Source organism: Homo sapiens, chromosome 3 (assembly GCF_000001405.40).
Source record: "Homo sapiens chromosome 3, GRCh38.p14 Primary Assembly".
NCBI classification, from domain to species: domain Eukaryota; kingdom Metazoa; phylum Chordata; class Mammalia; order Primates; family Hominidae; genus Homo; species Homo sapiens.
The window spans coordinates 21,553,896-21,574,251 of NC_000003.12; the positions used below are offsets into that span (position 1 = coordinate 21,553,896).

The 20,356-nt window shown below is 37.8% G+C and overlaps 1 protein-coding gene and 1 long non-coding RNA gene across 20 annotated transcripts in view; one reads left to right on the forward strand and one right to left on the reverse strand.

The window, feature by feature from the left end:
* ZNF385D (zinc finger protein 385D) overlaps window positions 1-20,356 on the reverse strand; it is a 960,546-nt gene that overhangs the window by 141,678 nt on the left and 798,512 nt on the right. For 18 of the 19 annotated variants that reach the window (NM_024697.3, XM_017007192.2, XM_017007191.2 and 15 more), the window contains one exon: window positions 10,679-10,789. In NM_024697.3, the coding sequence (NP_078973.1) occupies window positions 10,679-10,789 (111 nt within the window). Of the gene's footprint in view, window positions 1-10,678; window positions 10,790-20,356 lie in introns of those variants that run through there. The other variant, XM_017007201.2, reaches the window with a different exon arrangement.
* ZNF385D-AS1 (ZNF385D antisense RNA 1) overlaps window positions 1-20,356 on the forward strand; it is a 37,171-nt gene that overhangs the window by 11,107 nt on the left and 5,708 nt on the right. The window lies entirely within an intron of this gene.

The window sequence follows — 20,356 nt, forward strand, 5'->3', positions numbered from 1 at the left end:
ATTCAAACTCTACTTTTAATTATACTTCTCTTGCTATTTCCACAATATCTACATTTATTTCTTTCACTGGAGTTTTGAAACCCTCAAAGTCATCCATGAACATTGGAAGAAACTTCTTTTAAATTCCTGTTAATGTGGATATTTTGACTTCCTCCCATGAGTTACAAATGTTCTTAATGGCATGTAGAATGGTGAATTTTTTCCAGAAGGTTTTCAATTTACTTGGGCAACATCCATCAGAGGAATCACTATCTATGGTAGCTATAGCCTTAAAAATATATTTCTTAAATAATAAGAGTGGGAAGTCAAAATTATGTCTTTATCCATGGGCTGCACAGTGAATGTAGTGTTAGCAGGCATAAAAACAACATGAATCTTCTTGAACATCTCTATCAGAGCTCTCGGGTTATGAGGTACATTGTCAATGAACAGTAATATTTTGAAAGAAATCTTTTTTTCTGAGCAATAAATCTCAAGAGTGGGCTTAAAATATTCAGTAAACCATGATGTAAACAGATGTACTATCATCCAGCCTTCTTGTTGCATTTGTAGACCACAGGCAGAGATGATTTAGTGAAATTCTTAAGGGCCCTAGGATTTTTGGAATAGTCAGTGAGCACTAGCTTGAATTTAGACACTAACTTCATTAGCTCCTACCAAGAGAGTAAGCCTGTCCTTTGAAGCATTAAAGCCAGACATTGACTTCTCTCTCTAGCTAGGTAAGTCCTAGATAGCATAATCTTCCAATAGAATGCTCTTTGGTTTATGCTTAAAATCTGTTGGGTAGTGTAGCCATCTTTTTTCAGCGGCCTTAACTGGATCTTCTGGATTACTTGCTGCAGCTCCTACATCAGCACTTGCAGCTTCACCGTGCACGTTTATGTTATGGAGAGGACTTCTTTCTTTAAACCTCATGAACCAACCACTTCCAGCTTCAGACATTTTTTTCTCACCTCTGTTAGCCTTCATAGAATTAAAGAGAGTTAGGGCCTTCCTCTGGATTAGGCTCTGATTTAAGGAAATGGTATGGCTGGTTTGATTTTTCTATTCAAACCACTAGCACTTTCTCCATATCAAACATAAGGCTCTTTTGCTTTCATGTCATTCATGTGTTTACTAGAGTAGTACATCTAATTACCTTCAAGAACTTTTATTTTACAGTCACAACTTAGCTAACCGCTTGGCACAAGAGGCCTAGCTTTCAGCCTAACTCTTCTTTTGACATGTTTTCCTCACTAAGCTTAATCATTTCTGGTTTTTGATGTAAATGAAAAGATGTGTGACTCTTTCTTTCACTTGAACACATACAGGCAATTGTAGTTTTTTTTTTTTTTTTAATACTTTAAGTTCTGGGGTACATGTGCAGAACGTGCAGGTTTGTTACATAGGTATACATGTGCTATGGTGGTTTGCTGCACCCATCAACCTGTCATCTACATTAGGTATTTCTCCTAATGCTATCCCTCCCCTAGCCCCCTGACCCTTCGACAGGCCCTGGTGTGTGATGTTCCCTTCCCTGTGTCCATGTGTTCTCATTGTTCAGCTCCCACTTATGAGAACATGCAGTGTGTGGTTTTCTGTTCTTCTGTTAGTTTGCTGAGAATGATGGTTTCCAGCTTCATCCATGTCCCTGCAAAGGACATGAATTCATCCTTTTTTATGGCTGCATAGTGTTCCATGGTGTATACGTGCCACATTTTCTTTAACCAGTCTATCACTGATGGGCATTTGGGTTGGTTCCAAGTCTTTGCTATTGTGAATAGTGCCGCAGTAAACATGCGTGTGCTTGTGTCTTTATAGTGGAATGATTTATAATCCTTGGGGTGTATACCCAGTAATAAGATTGCTGGGTCATATGGTATTTCTGGTTCTAGATCTTTGAGGAATCACCACACTGTCTTCACAATGGTTGAACTAATTTACACTTGCACCAACAGTGTAAAAGCATTCCTATTTCTCTACATCCTCTTCAGCATGTGTCATTTCCTGACTTTTTAATGCTTGCCATTCTAACTGGTGTGAGATGGTATCTCATTGTGGTTTTGATTTGCATTTCTCTAGTGACCAGTGATGATGAGCTTTTTTTCCATGTTTGTTGGCTGCATAAATGTCTTCTCTTAAGAAGTGTCTGTTCATATCCTTTGCCCACTTTTTGACGTTTTTTTTGTTTTTGTTTTTTTTTTTTTTTTTTTGTAAATTTAAGTTCTTTGTAGATTCTGGGTATTAGACCTTTATCAGATGGATAGATTGCAAAAATATTCTCCCACTCTGTAGGTTGCCTGTTCACTCTGATGATAGTTTCTTTTGCTGTGCAGAAGCTCTTTAGCTTAATTAGATCTCATTTGTCTATTTTGGCTTTTGTTGCCATTGCTTTTAGTGTTTTAGTCATGAAGTCCTTGCCCATGCTTATGTCCTGAATGGTATTGCCTAGGTTTTCTTCTAGGGTTTTTATGGTTTTAGGTCTTACATTTAAGTCTTTAATCCATTGTGAGTTAATTTTTGTATAAGGTGTAAGGAAGGGATCCAGTTTCAGCTTTCTGCATATGGTTAGCCAGTTTTCTCAACACCATTTATTAAATAGGGAAGCCTTTCCCCATTGCTTATTTTTGACGGGTTTGTCAAAGATCAAATGGTTGTAGATGTGTGATATTATTTCTGAGGCTTCTGTTCTCTTCCATTGATCTATATATCTGTTTTGGTACCAATACCATGCTGTTTTGGTTACTGTATCCTTGTAGTATAGTTAGAAGCCAGGTAACATGATAACCTCCAGCTTTGTTCTGTTCGCTTAGGATTGTCTTGGCTAATTCTGTGAAGAGAGTTAATGGTAGCTTGATGGGAATAGCATTGAATCTATCAGTTACTTTGGGCAGTATGGCCATTTTCACGATATCGATTCTTCCTATCCGTGGGCATGGAATGTTTTTCCATTTGTGTCCTCTCTTATTTCCTTGAGCAGTGGTTTGTAGTTATCCTTGAAAAGGTCCTTCACATCCCATGTAAGTTGTATTCCTAGGTATTTTATTCTCTTTGTAGCAATTGTGAATAGGAGTTCACTCATGATTTGGCCCTCTGTCTGTTATTGGTGTATAGGAATGCTTGTGATTTTGGCACATTGATTTTGTCTCCTGAGACTTTGCTGAAGTTTTTATCAGTGTTAGGAGATGTTGGGCTGAGACAATTGGGTTATCTAAATATACAATCATGTCATCTGCAAACAGACAAGTTGACTTCCCCTTTTCCTAATTGAATACCCTTTATTTCTTTCCCTTGCCTGATCCCCTGGCCAGAACTTCCGATGCTATGTTGAATAGGAGTGGTGAGAGAGGGCATCCTTATCTTGTGCTAGTTTTCAAAGGGAATGCTTCCAGTTTTTGCCCATTCAGTGTGATACTGGCTGTGGGTTTGTCATAATAGCTCTTATTATTTCAAGGTAGGTTCCGTCAATACCTAATTTATTGAGAGTTTTCAGCATGAAGGGGTTTTGAATTTTGTTGAAGGCTTTTTCTGCATCTATTGAGATAATCATGTGGTTTTTGTCATTGGTTCTGTTTATGTGATAGGTTACGTATATTTATTTGCATATGTTGAACCAGCCTTGCATCCCAGGGATGAAGCTGACTTGATCGTGGTGGATAAGCTTTTTGATGTGCTGCTGGATTAGTTTCGCCAGTATTTTATTGAGGATTTTTGCATTGATGTTCAGGGATATTGGCCTGAAATTTTATTTTTTTGTCGTGTCTCTGCCAGGTTTTAGTATCAGGATGATGCTGGCCTCATAAAATAAGTTAGGGAGGATTCCCTCTTTTTCTGTTCCTTGGAATAGTTTCAGAAGGAATGGTACCACTTCCTTTTTGTACCTCTGGTAGAATTCGTCTGTGAATCCATCTGGTCCTGGAATTTTTTTGATTGGTAGGCTATTAATTAACTGCCTCAATTTCAGAACTTGTTATTGGGATTTGACTTCTTCCTGGTTTAGACTTGGGAGGGTGTATGGGTCCAGGAATTTATCCATTTCTTCTAGATTTTCTAGTTTATTTGCATAGAGGTGTTTATAGTATTCTCTGATGGTAGTTTGTATTTCTGTGGGATCAGTGGTGATACCCCTTTATCATTTTTTAGTGTGTCTATTTTATTCTTCTCCCTTTTCTTTATTAGTCTGGCTAGCAGTCTGTTTTGCTGATCTTTTCAAAAAATCAGCTCCTGGATTCATTGATTTTTTTTTTTTTTTTTGAAGGGTTTTTCATGTCTCTATCTCCTTCAGTTCTGCTCTGATCTTAGTTATTTCTCACCTTCTGCTAGCTTTTAATTTGTTTGCTCTTGCTTCTCTAGTTCTTTTAATTGTGATGTTAGGGTGTCGATTTTAGATCTTTCTTGCTTTCTCTTGTGGGCATCTAGTGCTATAAATTTCCCTCCACATGCTGCTTTAAGTGTGTCCCAGAGATTCTGGTACATTGTGTCTTTTTTCTCATTGGTTTCAAAGAACTTATTTATTTCTGCCTTCATTTCGTTATTCACCCGGTAGTCATTCAGGAGCAGGTTGTTCAGTTTCCATGTTGTTGTGCAGTTTTGAGTCAGTTTCTTAATCCTGACTTCCAATTTAATTGCACTGTGTTCCGAGAGAATGTTATGATTTCCATTCTTTTGCATTTGCTGAGTAGTGTTTTACTTCCAATTATGTGATCAATTTTAGAATAAGAGCAATGAGTTGCTGAGAAGAACGTATATTCTGTTGATTTGGGGTGGAGAGTTCTGTAGATGTCTATTGGGCCCGCTTGGCCCAGAGCTGAGTTCTGAATATCTTTGTTAATTTTCTGTCTCATTGATCTAATATTGATAGTGCACTGTTAAAGTCTCCCACTATTATTGTGTGGGAATCTAAGTCTCTTTGTAGGTCTCTGAGAACTTGCTTTATGAATCTGGATGCTCCTTTATTGGGTGTATATATAATTCGGATAGTTAGCATATATATTTAGGATCGTTAGCTCTTCTTGTTGTATTGATCCCTTTGCCATTATGTAATGTCCTTCTTTGCTGTTTGATCTTTGTTGGTTTAAAGTCTGTTTTATCAGATACTAGGATTGCAACCCCTGCTTTTTTTTTTTTTTTTGCTGTCCATTTGCTTAGTAAATATTCCTCCTACCCTTTATTTTGAGCTTATGCGTGTTTTTACACATGAGAGTCTCCTGAATACAGCACACTGATGGTTCTTGACACTCTATCCAATTTGCCAGTCTGTGTCTTTTAATTGGGGCATCTAGTCCTTTTACATTTAAGGTTAATATTGTTATGTGTGAATTTGAGCCTCTCATTATGATGCTAGTTGGTTATTTTGTCTTAGTTGATGCAGTTTCCTCATAGTGTCGATGGTCTTTACAATTTGGTATGTTTTTGCAGTGGCTGGTACCGGTTTTACCTTTCCATATTTAGTGCTTTCTTCAGGAGCTCTTGTAAGGCAGGCCGGGTGGTGACAAAATCTCTTTTGCTTGTCTGTAAAGGATTTTATTTCTCCTTCACTTACAAAGCTTAGTTTGCCTGGATAGGAAATTCTGGGTTGAACATTCTTTTCTTTAAGAATGTTGAATATTGACCCCCACTCTCTTCTGGCTTGTAGGGTTTCTGCAGAGAGAACCATGGTTAGTCTGATGGGCTTCCCTTTGTGGGTAACCCAACCTTCCTCCCTGTCTGCCCTTCACATTTTTTCCTTCATTTCAACCTTAGTGAATCTGATGATTATGTGTCTTGGGGTTGCTCTTCTCAAGGAGTATCTTTGTGGTGTTCTCTGTATTTCCTGAATTTCAATGTTGGCCTGTCTTGCTAGGTTGGGGAAGTTCTCCTGGATAATATTCTGAAGAGTGTTTTTGAACTTGGTTCCATTCTCCCTGTCACTTTGAGGTACACCAATCAAACGTAGGTTTGGTCTTTTCACATATTCGCATATTTCTTGGAGGCTTTGTTTGTTTCTTTTCATTCTTTTTTCTCTAATCTTGTCTTCACGCTGTATTTAAGTTGATCTTCAAGCTCTGATATCCTTTCTTCTGTTTGATCAATTCGGCTATTGATACTTGTGTATGCCTCACGAAGTTCTCGTGCTGTATTTTTCAGCTCCATCACGTCGTTTATGTTCTTCTCTAAACTGGTTATTCTAGTTAGCAATTTGTCTAATGTTTTTTCAAGGTTCTTAGCTTCCTTGCATTGGTTTAGAACATGTTTCTTTGGCTCAGAGGAGTTTGTTATTACCCACCTTCTGAAGCCTACTTCTGTCAATTCGTCAAACTCATTCTGCATCCTGTTTTGTTCTCTTACTGGCGAGGAGTTGTGATCCTTTGGAGGAGAAGAGGCGTTCTGGTTTTTGGAATTTTCAGCCTTTTTGGGCTGGTTTCTCCCCATCTTCGTGGATTCATCTATCTTTGGTCTTTGAGGTAGGTGACCTTCGGATGGGGTCTGTCAGTGGACTTCCTTTTTGTTGATGTTGATGTTATTCATTTCTGTTAGTTTTTCTTCTAATAGGCCCCTCTGCTGCAGGTTTGCTAGAGGTCCACTCCAGACCCTGTTTGCCTGGGTATCACCAGCAGAGGCTGCAGAACAGCAAAGATTGCTGCCTGTTCTTTCCTCTGGAAGCTTTGTCCCAGAGGGCTACCTGCCAGATGCCAGCGAGAGCTCTCCTGTATGAGGTGCCGGTCGGCCCCTACTGGGAGGTATCTCCCAATCAGGAGACATGGGGGTCAGGGACCCACTTGAGGAGGCAGTCTGACCCTTAGCAGAGCTCGAACGCTGTGCTGGGAGATCCGCTGCTCTCTTCAGAGTCATCAGGCAGGGAACATTTACATCTGCTGAAGCTGCGCCTATAGCTGCCTCTTTCCCCAGGTGCTCTGTCCCAGGGAGTTGGGGGTATTATCTATAAGCCCCTGACTGGGGCTGCTGCCTTTTTTTTCAGAGATGCCCTGCCCAGGGAGGAGGAATCTAGAGAGACAGTCTGGCCACAGGGGCCTTGCTGAGCTTCAGTGGGCTCCGCTCAGTTCGATCTTCCTGGTGGCTTTGTTTACACTGTGAGGGTATACCTCCTACTCAAGCTTCAGCAATGGTGGACACCCCTCCCCCAACCAAGCTGGAGCATCCCAGGTCGACCTCAGACTGCCATGCTGACAGCGTGAATTTCAAGCCCGTGGATCTTAGCCTGCTGGGCTCTGAGGGGGTGGGACCCCCGAGCCAGACCACTTGGTTCTCTGACTTCAGCCCCTTTCCGGGGGAGTGAATGGTTCTGTCTTGCTGGTGTTCCAGAAGCCACTGGGGTATGAAAAAGAAAACTCCTTCACGTAGCTTGGTTTCTGTCCAAACAGCCACCCAGTTTTGTGCTGGAAACTTAGGGCCCTGGTGGTGTAGGTACCCTAGGGAATATCCTGGTCTGCGGGTTGCAAAGACCATGGGAAAAGCACAGTATCTGGGCTGGAGCGCACAATTCCTCATGGCACAGTCCCTCACAGCTTCCCTTGGCTAGGAGAGGGAGCTCCCCAACCCCTTGTGCTTCCCAGGTAAGGTGACACCCCACCCTGCTTCTGCTCGCCCTCTGTGGGCAGCACCCACTGTCCAACCAGTCCCAATGAGATGAACTGGGTACCTCAGTTGGAAATGCAGAAATCACCTGCCTTCTGCGTTGATCTCACTGGGAGCTGCAGACTGGAGCTGTTTCTATTTGGCCAGCTTGCCAGCAACTGGCCATTGTAGGGTTTTAAATTGGCCTAATTTCAGTGTTGTGTCTCAGGAAATAGGAAGGTCCAAAGAGAGGGTGGGAGATTGGGGAATGTCCAGATGGTGGAACAATCAGAACACACACAACGTTTATTAATTAAATTTACCATCTTACATGGGTGGAATTCACAGTGCCCCAAAACAATCACAATAGTAACATCAAAGGTCACAGATCACCATAACAGATATAGTAAAAATAGAAAAGTTTGAAATATTGAAAGAAGAACCAAAATGTGATGCAGAGACACAAAGTGAGCTGAGATATGCCTGCATATTTGTGTTGTTTCAGGCCACTGAGTTTGTGGTGATTTATTTTAGCAGCAATAGAAGACTAATACAATAATCATCTGGTAAATGGTCAAGCCTGCAATTGTTTAATTATGACCCAAAGTGATTAGTCCATATCTCCAAATACCTTGGCCATGTTCCTTTTACGACATGCCACACAGACCTGAAAGCAAAGTTGTGAGAATGAGAAGCCAGTTGTCCCTAATAAATACATATTGATGCCCATTCTACTTTGAAACTTCAGTAACAAAATAAATTGCTACTCTCTCACCATGGAAATGAAATAAGAATACATTTTTGAAAAGTATGTTCATATTCCATGTGTTATGTCATATCAATTTATATTATTGTTAAAAATTATATATAAAAATATGTATGTGTTTTCTAAAGCATGTCTGACAATATTTCTAAAGTGTCCAATCATGAATTTGACATCAATCTACAGAATTAGAAACACTCCAAAAATAGAACCACTGTCTGGAAATGGTAAGTGACTCATCACTGGGAATAATCAAGCAAAAGACCTTGCCTGGATGTAAGAGGTGAAATTCTTGCACTTAGTAGGAGATTGGGTTCAGTGACCTTGAAATTTCTTTCTAATTCCTAGTTTAAAAGAAGTGTGCTTAATAAAGAGAATATTGACAGTGAAATCATAGGCAGGAGGAGATATTTTAAGTAGTCTCATTAAATATAAGAAGCTGACAACATGGCTCCTGGGAGACTTTTAAATCATCTGATCAGTTTCTAAGTGAAATATAAATACAGTTTAGGAAAAGAGGAACTAAAAAGCCACTTAAAATAATAATTATAAAACTATATAATTGTTTGCTGAGTGTTTAAAAATGATCAAAGTTGAAGCTGTTGAGTTTAGAACTCTTATTTATGTATTAAGAGGACTCTTTTTTAACAACAGCTTGAAGAGATTATTACAGTCATCACTTGAGAATACTTTATTGTTAAAATTAAGCAATTCTGTGGTAAAGTTCTATCCCTCAAAGTGCGCAGCATTAAAAAACAAAAAATCCCTTCACATAAAATATTATATGTTTGGTATATTCTTTTTGGTTTTTAGCAGCAAATACCACTTAAGTGCTGGTATGGTCTGATTATTTGTATACCTGGAAAATTCATATGTTGAGATTCTGACCCCCAAGTTGATGGTAGTAGCAGGTGGAACCTTTTGGGAGATGATTAAGTCATGAGGGCAGAGCCCTTGTGAATGAGATTGGTGCCCTTATAAAATAGCTTCAAGGGAGCTCCTTTATCCCTTCCACCATGTGAAAATACAGTGAAAATATGCCATGTGGGAACCAGAAAGCAGGCCCTTACCAGACAGTGAATTTGTCAGCACCTTGATCTTGGACTTCTCAGCCTCCGGAACTGTGAGAAATAAATTTCTGTTGTTTATAATCTACTCAGTTTATGGTACTTTGTTTTAGCTGGCCAAATGGACTAAAGTGTTATGCAGGCAATCCACTCTTCTCTTTTTTAAGTCAATGGATATTGTAAAATTACCTGATGATTGCATTAGTAAGTATGAGTTCTTAAGACGAAAGCAAAATAAAATGTAATGTTCTCTTCAAAGAGGAATAAACTATTTTGTTTATGCCTCATCTATTTCCTATACTCAATTATCTTGCATCCTATCTTCGTCACCAGAGCATCTAAGAGTCCTACTTGACTGGAGAGGTTAAATACTGGAAGGCTTAACGTTGTCCAGAATTCAGATCTGTTTGGTCATCTCCACAAAGTGTATCAACTTAGGACGAGAAAATGGTACCTCGATAGGATGGAGCCTTCTGTTTGCCTAGAGTGTGAATGCTCTCCAATCCCTATTCCTTCTAGACCAACGTTGCCTGTCTCTTCTGGAACTCTTAGGACTTAACTTCATATCAAAGCAGGTTTAGCGGGGAAGAGAAGACATACATTTTTTTTTCCCATTGGCCACAGATCAAAATTAATATCACTGTGATGGATCCAGAGTCCACCCTAGTCCTTAGAAATGGTAGAAAAGGTGTGAATAACTCCCTGAATAACTTGTGAACCACCAGTCAGGTCCACAAATGTTTCCCTCCTACATGTTCTCCACTGAAGTCTTTTGGGGCTTGAGTGGTTCTAGGACTGTAGGACCCCTGTTAAAATACCAATACTCCTAGGACAACTTGAGTGCTTTAGCACAAATATAATTAAGGACATAGCGGTAATATGGAATTTGAGGCCTCCATTCCAGGCAAAAAAAGTTTATAAACTCAAAATCTTGATCTTAAAATATGATTTGGTACCTATCTTATTTCAGAGTGTAACCTATTAAAAGTTCCATTGGTCGAAAGTTTTACTGTTCCCAAAGGCAAAGTGTATTATCTACATGTACCATTCCCAAAAGACTAAAAAATAAATAAATAAATAAAAATATTAAACTGCAAGTATTTAAGCTTGTTTACATGTGAATTTTCTGTAGTAAACAACCAAACATAACATAATAAACTCCAAAATTAAAGCACATAGTGAGTTAAAATGTTATCTTTGAATTTTGACATGCTCAGTTACTGGAGAAAATGTCTTAAGAAATCTTTTCTCCTGCAAGATTAGAACAGCAAAATGTATTTTTTTTTTTTAAGTGAACACTAAATGATAAACTTACATCAGAATTAAATCTCAACTGGCAAATGTTGCATGATATGATTTGCTTTCTTCGGTGGGGAAGAGGAACCCCGAATGTATGGTTTATTACAGCTTTCTGAATCGGGTCCATCTGTAATGAGAAAAAAGAAATACAACAAATAGAAATAAAGCTTGTCAGTTCCATTGGAATTTTGCCTATTTCATTAAAGAACCAATCTGTACAGCTTCAATCTACTGCTCACATTATAAAGAACCTTTTTATTCTAAGAAACAACATTTTTACTTTCTTGGAAAATAGATAACATTAAGCCCAAAGCTCAGTATGATAAGGAAATGATAAATTTACCCATTAGAGTCTGCATACTAACTGTTTTTCTCATTTAAAAGCAACAGTTGTCTCAGTTTAATAACCCTTAAATATAATTAAAGATTTATCAAAATTCAAGTTATTGCTAATGCCAGCAATCTAACACAGAAGTATGTCTATACCATTGCCCAAAAATGGATTTCAAAATAGACTGGTCAGCTGGGAAGCCATGAAAATAAATTATACACCATTATCCAACATGAACCTTATGCTATGTTTGGTATCTTTTAGACTCTATAATATACAAGTCCTGCTTTCCAATAATTGAAACATATGGAGATGTTAATTAAGTCATTCAGCAATCACTTGTTGACCATCTAGTATAGAATGTTAACCTGTGGACTTATTGGGGGGTGCCAAGGGATTTGGGGCCAGATACCAGTTATCTCCCTCCATTTTATTTCCAGGACAGGACAAACAACAAGAAAAACATAATGTCAGCAATCCAGCTCTGATAAAGTTTAGTGTCCCTTCACCAGGCTTTTGTCCTATGGTTGCTCTGGCTGGAGTGCAGTGGTGAGATCATAGCTCACTGTAGGCTCAAACTCTTGGGTTCAAGCAGCCCTCCCACTTGAGCCTCCCAAGTAGCTGGGAGTACAGGCTTGAGCCACCACACCCAGCCCTTGATCTTAATTCTTTCATGTAACTTCTTTCACTATCCTTGTCTATTAAAGTTGTGATGAAGCTTAAATGTGATAATTCATGAAATTTACTTAGGATAGTCAGTCTGGGCGCATTAAATAGATGCTGGCTATTTATTATTATATGTTCTGTGTTGTAGCACATGTGAAGATCAAGGTTAATATCAGCCTCAAACACTATACTCATTGTTGGCACATTTCCCATTTTTCAAATGATGAGATAAAAGGACTTATAAGTAAGTCTTCATAATAGATTGAGATAGATCAGAAATTATTTGATACACTCAAAAGTGCTCAGAATGTGTCAGAAATGACTCTCTAATATTCACCTTCTGTGACATATTATAGTTCATTAATTCCCCTAAACAAGCCATTGATCAATTTCATCTCCTTTTGTGTTTCTCAGGTCACTGGAATCAGTTAATTCACAGGCTCTCTTCACTGGAAGGAAGGAGAAAGTTTCTGACTTCTTTGTATTCACAACTCCTATTAGGTTGTCTAGGTACTGTTAACATACGGTTCTGAATAATAACAATAGTAACAATAAAAATAGTAGCAGTTAGCATTTATTATAATGCTTTCCATAGGCTAATCACTGGACCAGGTGATTTACATGGTTACAGTGATAAAGGAGTAGAACTCATGGGCGTAATCATTTTTCTTTTCCACCTTCCCTTTAAATTTATTATCTAACAAACATTAATCCTTGCCCAAATTCTGGATGAAGCTCAGCCTCTCCTCATTGTTTTTCTGGTCACTTTTAGGTATTAACAAATTATAGGCCAGGCACGATAGCTCATGCCTATAATCCCAGCACTTTGGGAAGGCCGAGGTGGGTGGATCTCTTGAGGTCAGGAGTTGGAGACCAGCCTGGCCAGCATGGTGAAACCTTGTCTTTACTAACAAAGTACAAAAAAATTAGCCAGGCATGGTGGCAGGTGCTTGTAATCCCAGGTATTCGGGAGGCTGAGGCAGGAGAATCGCTTGAACCCAGATTGCAGTGAGCTGAGATCATGCCACTCCATTCCAGCGTGGGTGACAGAGTGAGACTCTGTCTCAAAAAACAAATTATAGGATCACCTCTCTCCTTCACTAGTGAATTCTATAATATTTTCTTTTTATCTGATTTTATTTAGGTATTGTATAATAATTTACATACAATAAAAATCACCAGTATTAAGTGTACAAGTGAAATGTGACAAATGCATAGAGTGAGGATAATTGTCACACAGACCTTTTCCACTATCTGGACAAGTTCCCTCTTACCCCTCTGTGGTCATTCTCTGCCTCCTCCTCCCAGACCCTGAAACCACTGGCCTGCTTTCTATGTATTTTTCCATTTCTGTCTCAGTATTTTGCCATTTCACATAAATGTTATCATAGAGTATGTGGTGATTTGTGTCTGGAATCTTTCATTCAATACAATGGTGCTCAGATTCATCCATGTTGTTACATGCATCAGCAGCTTGTTCCTTTTTATTGCTCAGTAGTATTCCTTTGTAAGGATGCACTACATGTATTTATCCATTTGCCATTGATGAACACATGTATTTATCCATTTGCCATCGATGAACATTTCATTATTTTCAGTACATTCTTTGATCTTTTCAAGTCTGAATATGCAACCTAAGATCATTCCTAAAATCAGTTAAGTGTCTTAATCCAAACATTAAAACTTAATTTAAAATTACAGTATCTCTTCCTTAGGTTGGGCCTGCTGTAGAATAGCGGTATGAAGGGCCACAGGACATAGTACAGGATTCTTCTCTACATATACTGCCAAGTCCCTCACCCCAGCTAAGCTTCTAAACCTTCCTCAATCTTTTATTATTTCCCCAGAACCAAAATTAACAATGCACAGAGCTTGAGAAAGCCAAGGGCCACACAAATGTGTGAATCTGCGCTGCTTCAATAGCCCTCATTCTGTTCTCTAGGATCATTCTATCACATCTATAAAAACAACCACAGAGAACACTGAAGGGTAATTTTCCCTTCAGCCACCAGCTGACGGAAAAATTAAAAGCAGAAAGAGGTCATTGACTTACAGGTAGATGCCTTATCATGTTCTCTTGTGTACATTCTGTGCACAAACGGGATGTGTTTCTATCGGGATAAGGTGAATTATGCCTATAACCCATTAAGGAATATTGAAGTCTCCTTATAATGATACTTTGAAATAAAAATGAACTGTGTATGTATATCAAAGAAAGATGCTCTCCGAAAATACATACTGCTGAGTTTTTATCATATTTTGGTGATCAGGGTATTATTTTGGGTTTTTTTTAGTAACACTGGGGAGGCAGTGACCACATTCAATCCAAATTTGTAGAGGAGGTATTTTGGGACTAGTCACTTCGTGCAAATGTAATATAGTCTTTAGATTAAGTTATTTTGTTTGAATTGAATGATGTTCTGATCACTGTGGCTATAAAATCAGATTTCAAAATGCAAAGTGGTATATTCTGCAGAGACAATTTTATTTCCCAGAATAGTTAAAAAAAAACTTAACTGAATTACCTTTTAAAATGGATTTCACAAACTATAGATACACCATCAAAAGTAATTATCTTTTATCCTTTTAGAAATCTAGTACAACAAAATGTTTTAATATCTTTATTAATAACAATAAATCATTCACACGTATATATCTACAACCATTTACAATGAGGAATTATGAAAGGGCAAAATCTAAATAATAACCAGTTCTGTTATAAATAGTTAATTAAATGATACCACATGCCGTATAACTAAAAGTAGCCTCTACTGTCAAATCAGGGGACACACACACAGATAGTTTGATCATTTTGTCTAAACTTATCTTTATTTACTATTATAATCAAATATTTTATATAAAAAGAAAGTCATGTATATTGTTTTTCTCTCCAGGAACCAATGGGTCTGATCTGTCAAAACAGTAACATCTTATTTTGTGTATGCACATTATCGTCAAGAATTTTTCTACAAAATCTGCCTCACACAATGCCAATATTTGTGGTAGGCAGGAAAAAAAGGGGTTCTTGGGTCAGATAAGGTGTAGAAAGTCGAGGTACTACAGCCTAGACATTAACAGCACACAACAGAATATTACAATCTCTGAGATGCTGTACAAGAAAAATATGTTTTAAATGCATGATTTCTGACTTAATATAACCAAGGTTTTTATTTTTGTTTTTTAATTTACCATCATTGTTCAATGCATACGTTTTAGAAAATACTGATCTGAGAAAATTATTTTTAAAATATAAGTAAAATGTAAAGGTTTCAATACATTAGTAGACACCAAACGAAGAATGTAATACATAGAAACTTCAGATATATTTCACCTAACCTGTGCAGCACTGAATTAAAAACAAAAGAAATGGTAAAATCTGCATGGTATTTTAGGATATATTTATTCAGTTTCTAAATTGTGATATTTTGAAAGATAGAATTTTCAGAATAGGTGTGGTATGGTGCTGAAAAAAATGTATATTCTGTTGATTTGGGGTGGAGAGGTCTGTAGATGTCTATTAGGTCCGCTTGGTGCAGAGCTGAGTTCAATTCCTGGGTATCCTTGTTAACTTTCTGTCTCATTGATCTGTCTAATGTTGACAGTGGGGTGTTAAAGTCTCCCATTATTATTGTGTGGGAGTCTAAGTCTCTTTGTAGGTCACTCAGGACTTGCTTTATGAATCTGGGTGCTCCTGTATTGGGTGCATATATATTTAGGATAGTTAGCTCTTCTTGTTGAATTGATCCCTTTACCATTATGTAATGGCCTTCTTTGTCTCTTTTGATCTTTGTTGGTTTAAAGTCTGTTTTATCAGAGACTAGGATTGCAACCCCTGCCTTTTTTTGTTTTCCATTTGCTTGGTAGATCTTCCTCCATGCTTTTATTTTGAGCCTATGTGTGTCTCTGCATGTGAGATGGGTTTCCTGAATACAGCACACTGATGGGTCTTGACTCTTTATCCAATTTGCCAGTCTGTGTCTTTTAATTGGAGCATTTAGTCCATTTACATTGAAAGTTAATATTGTTACGTGTGAATTTGATCCTGTCATTATGATGTTAGCTGGTTATTTTGCTCGTTAGTTGATGCAGTTTCTTCCTCGTCTCGATGGTCTTTACATTTTGGCATGATTTTGCAGCGGCTGGCACATATACACCATGGAATACTATGCAGCCATAAAAAATGATGAGTTCATGTCCTTTGTAGGGACATGGATGAAATTGGAAATCATCATTCTCAGTAAACTATCGCAAGGACAAAAAACCAAGCACTGCGTGTTCTCACTCATAGATGGGAATTGAACAATGAGAACACATGGACACAGGAAGGGGAACATCACACTCTGGGGACTGTTGTGGGGTGGGGGGGCAGGGAGGGATAGCATTAGGAGATATACCTAATGCTAAATGACGAGTTAATGGGTGCAGCACACCAGCATGGCACATGTATACATACGTAACTAACCTGCACATTGTGCACATGTACCCTAAAACTTAAAGTATAATAATAATAATAATAAAAAAAATTACACCTTAAAAAAAAAGAATTTTCTAAATCTATTAATCAACTACCCAAACAAAAATGAAGTATGATACACTAGCTATTGACACGCTTACCCAAACTCTAGGCTAAAATTCAATTTCAAACTCAGCCCATGGCCTTATTTAAAGCCAAATGAATATGTTTTTCTTCATTTCAGACTGAAGAACCTTTGCATTTCTATCTAAGGCCTAGGTTTTCCCTCACCTCCCCTCTGGGGATTCTGTTAAATTGATTTGTAAATGAGCATACAGGGGACATGCTTCAAGTACAGCAGCCGCAGCTCAAGGTTCCCTTCTCTAGGACTGTTGTATTTTCAGAGAGGATGAAGCTTAACCCTGAGTTGACAGTTCCTGCTCTAAGAGACCTCTTCTGTCTGTGTTCCTATTATTACTGTGGCTTTCACAATTTCACAGTTCTTAAACCAAAGAATAATAAATGCTAGGAAGTTTAGAAGTCCAGAAATAAAAAGGTTGTCTTTTTCATCTGGTATTTGTATGTAATAATGTCCAGTGACAATAACTTTAAAGGTTACACTTACAGGCACTTTCTGTGTGTTTGATGGTCATAGAATTTTTATCCTAAGTTACTGAGGAGCTTTTATGGCCCTTTGTCCAATATCACATAACTAGTAAGTGGGAGACTTGCTAACACAAGCCTCCCACCATACCCCTGTGCGTCTCTCAGGCACCATAATCAAGCTTTGTAATATTCATCATATTCAACTATGAACATTTGTGACTCTCCAGTATGAAGTGACACTGAGTGGAGATCCTGGTGTATTTATTACATTGACTTTGACTTAGTAAAATGTTTTTATATTACTCACATTCATACGTTAAAAAACACTAAAAATTCCTTAAAACCTCACTCCCACAAAATTTTTCCATTTGAGAAATTCCTTTTTCTTTAACTTTTTAAATGGACAAATAACTTACACACAAAAAGTACATACATTTTAAGTGTATCATTTGCAGATTTTTTTAAACATAGGCATACCCTCATATTTACACCATCCCAATAAAGAGATGGAACATTTTCAGCAATCAAGTCTCTCAGTCCTGTACTTGGCAAGTCAATTATGAGATATCACCAGATAGTATTTTTACCTGCTTTTGCACTTCATAAAAATATAAGTATACAGTATGCATTCTTTTGTGTCTGGCTTCTTTCATTCAACATTGTGTTTGTATTTCGATCATTTTTGTTGCTATATAGTATTCCATTCTAAAACCATATCCTAATTTTTGCCAATTCTACTGTTGAATAGTTGGGTTGCTTTCCATGTTAATCTATTAGGAATAAGCTATTAAAAACAATTCTAGGCATGTGATTTGTTGGATATAGTAGTCATTTATCTGAGATACATAACTAGGAATTAAATTTCTAGGTTATAGAATATTTATAGGATAAACTTTGGTAGGCATGGCCAAAAAGTTTTTCAAAATGGTTGTTACAGTACTGCAATATAATACTGCCACTAACTATCCAGAGTTGGTGTAGACTCCACGATTTAAGGGCATAGTCCCCAACAAGACTCTACTTCAAACACCAGTCACAAGTTTGAGGGTCCACAAGCCACCTGCATTTGTGACAAATTGGCTACAAATTTTGGGGCTCCCATGCCCCCAACAGGTTTGACAACTTGCTAGAATGACTTATATGGCTCAAAAATAGCACTAAACTTATGATTATAATTTTATTGTAAAGGACACGATTCAGAAGCAGCTCAATGAAGAGACACATAGGGCTAGAACTAGGAGGATACTGAATCAGAGCTTCCACGTCTTCTCCCCATGGAATCGTGATGCATTACCCTCCCTACACCTTTGAAACCAAAGAACCTCACCCAAATTTCGCCGTCCATAGTTTTTTTGTGGATTGCATTATCTAGGCATGATTGACTGAATCGCAGGGCACATGAACTCAATCTCCAGCATCCTTCCACTCCTCAGAGGTTGGGATGACATTACTGGGCTCAAAGCCCCAGTCCTTGAATTACATGGTTAGTCTTTCTGGTGACTGGACCCCATCCTGACTCAGCTCATTAATATAAACCCAGATGTAATACAAGAGGTCTAGATACTACTATCACTTGGGAAATTTTCAAGTTTTAGAGGTTACCTAGCTGGAACTGAGGACAAAGATAAGGCCAAACTTTTTATAATACAATACTTGTACATCCTTGTACTTTTGATACATAATTTTATACAGTTGTAAGCATAATATGGAAATGATATTTATTTTGCTTTTCATTTAACAATATATCCCAAGAAACTTTCACTTCAGTTTTCATATTTACCAATTAAATGGTGGCATACAATTTCCCTAAATGATTGTATTGATGGGGCTCAGAATAGAATACCTCCAAGTATGTACCTTGACATGCTGGGTACTTTAAAGTGAAGGACATAGGAAGAACTTAGGTCATGTCCTTTTGTCCAATCACATTTCTACACAGTGGTCTCTTCTTCATCAAACCTACATATAAAAACAGAGTTTCCCCGGGCCCTTGGGTTTTCATTTCTGTTAAGAGTGTTTCAGGTAAAACTTAGATTAAATAAATCTCGTTAACCTGTATTTTGTTATAGGAATGTCAGCTCTGACCCTTATGATGAGTGAGAAAAGGTACTACAGCTTTCCACCCTTGCACAGCAGAAAACCTGGAAAGAGTAGAAACATGGCTCAAAGGGTCTTTCCAGGGAAAGATAAATAAATTCAACTACATAAAGCTTTATATTAGAAGAAAACAATAATGGCTAACTTAAAGTGGGTACTTAGATACATGAGGCACTGCCCATAAGGACTTATATGTCATATCTCATTAGGACTTCACAATATCCCTAGGAAGTAGACACTTTTTTTTTTACTCCATTTTTTATATGAGAATTTTTAAGCACAAACACATGAACTTAATTAGATTAGGGTTTTACAGCTGGGTACTTCTAGAGCTGTGATTTAAATTCAAGAAATCTAACTCCGCAGTCTGTACTCTTAACCATCACACAATATTTTCTTTCATCAGCAAAAGGAAAAATAAATATGTTTAAACAAACAAAAAGGTGAAAAGGAAATGTCTACACCCTCTAAATCAATTAGGTTCTCTAGATATACAGAGGAACTCTAGAAATCGCTATGTAAAAGATAAAATACCAATGGCAAAATGGTTAAGGTGCATTAAAAAGCAATTTGTAGAAGACAATATCTGAGTGGCCAGTAAAAATACAAAATGTACTGGTTAAAGTGAAAATAAAATTTAAAATAACAAGATTATGGTTTTTACACAAATGGTTGGCAAAAAGAAATCTTGACATTAGGTACTGACAAGGACTTGGGAAAAATGGAGAAAAATTTGGCAACACCAAGTAATGTTGAAAGTAAACCTAACGTATGACTTAAACATTCAACTGGAGAAGCTCTGACTCATGGGCACCAAGAGATAATTACGAGGAAGTGTTCTGCAGTTTTGTTTCTATCAACAAATGGTCAAAAAGCTACAGGATGGAAAACCATACAAAAGTTATAAGAAACTCATTAAATATTTATAAGCAGGGAAAGAAACAAAAACAAAATAGAGAAGAATATCTAAAATATGGCATCAAACACTTAAGAATTACACATGCCTAGTCAACAAAGAAAGTAGGAAGTTAGAATCATATCACTTTATAACTCTTAAAGAAATAATGGGCTGGGCACGGTGGCTCACCCATGTAATCCCAGCACTCTGGAAGGCCAAGGAGGGTGGATCACCTGAGGTCAGGAATTCAAGACAAGCCTGGCCAACATGGTGAAACCCCATCTCTACTAAAAATACAAAAATTAGCTGGGTGTGGTGGCGGGCGCTTGTAATCCCAGGTACTTGGGAGGCTGAGTCAGGAGAATCTCTTGAACCCGGGAGGTGGAGGTTGCAGTGAGCTGAGATGACGCCACTGCACTCTAGCCTGCACAACAAGAGTGAAACTCCGTCTCAAAAAAAAAAAAAAAGGAAGGGAGGAAGTGAAAGAAAGAAAGAATGTATCTAGGCAGTGACCAACAATTACTACTAATCAACATAAAGAGACAACTAGGCATCAAGTATCTCCTCAGGAAGCATAATGTCACCTATGAGGAAGTCTTGACAAAAATATAGAACTTGAATGCGATCAAGACTCTAGATGTAA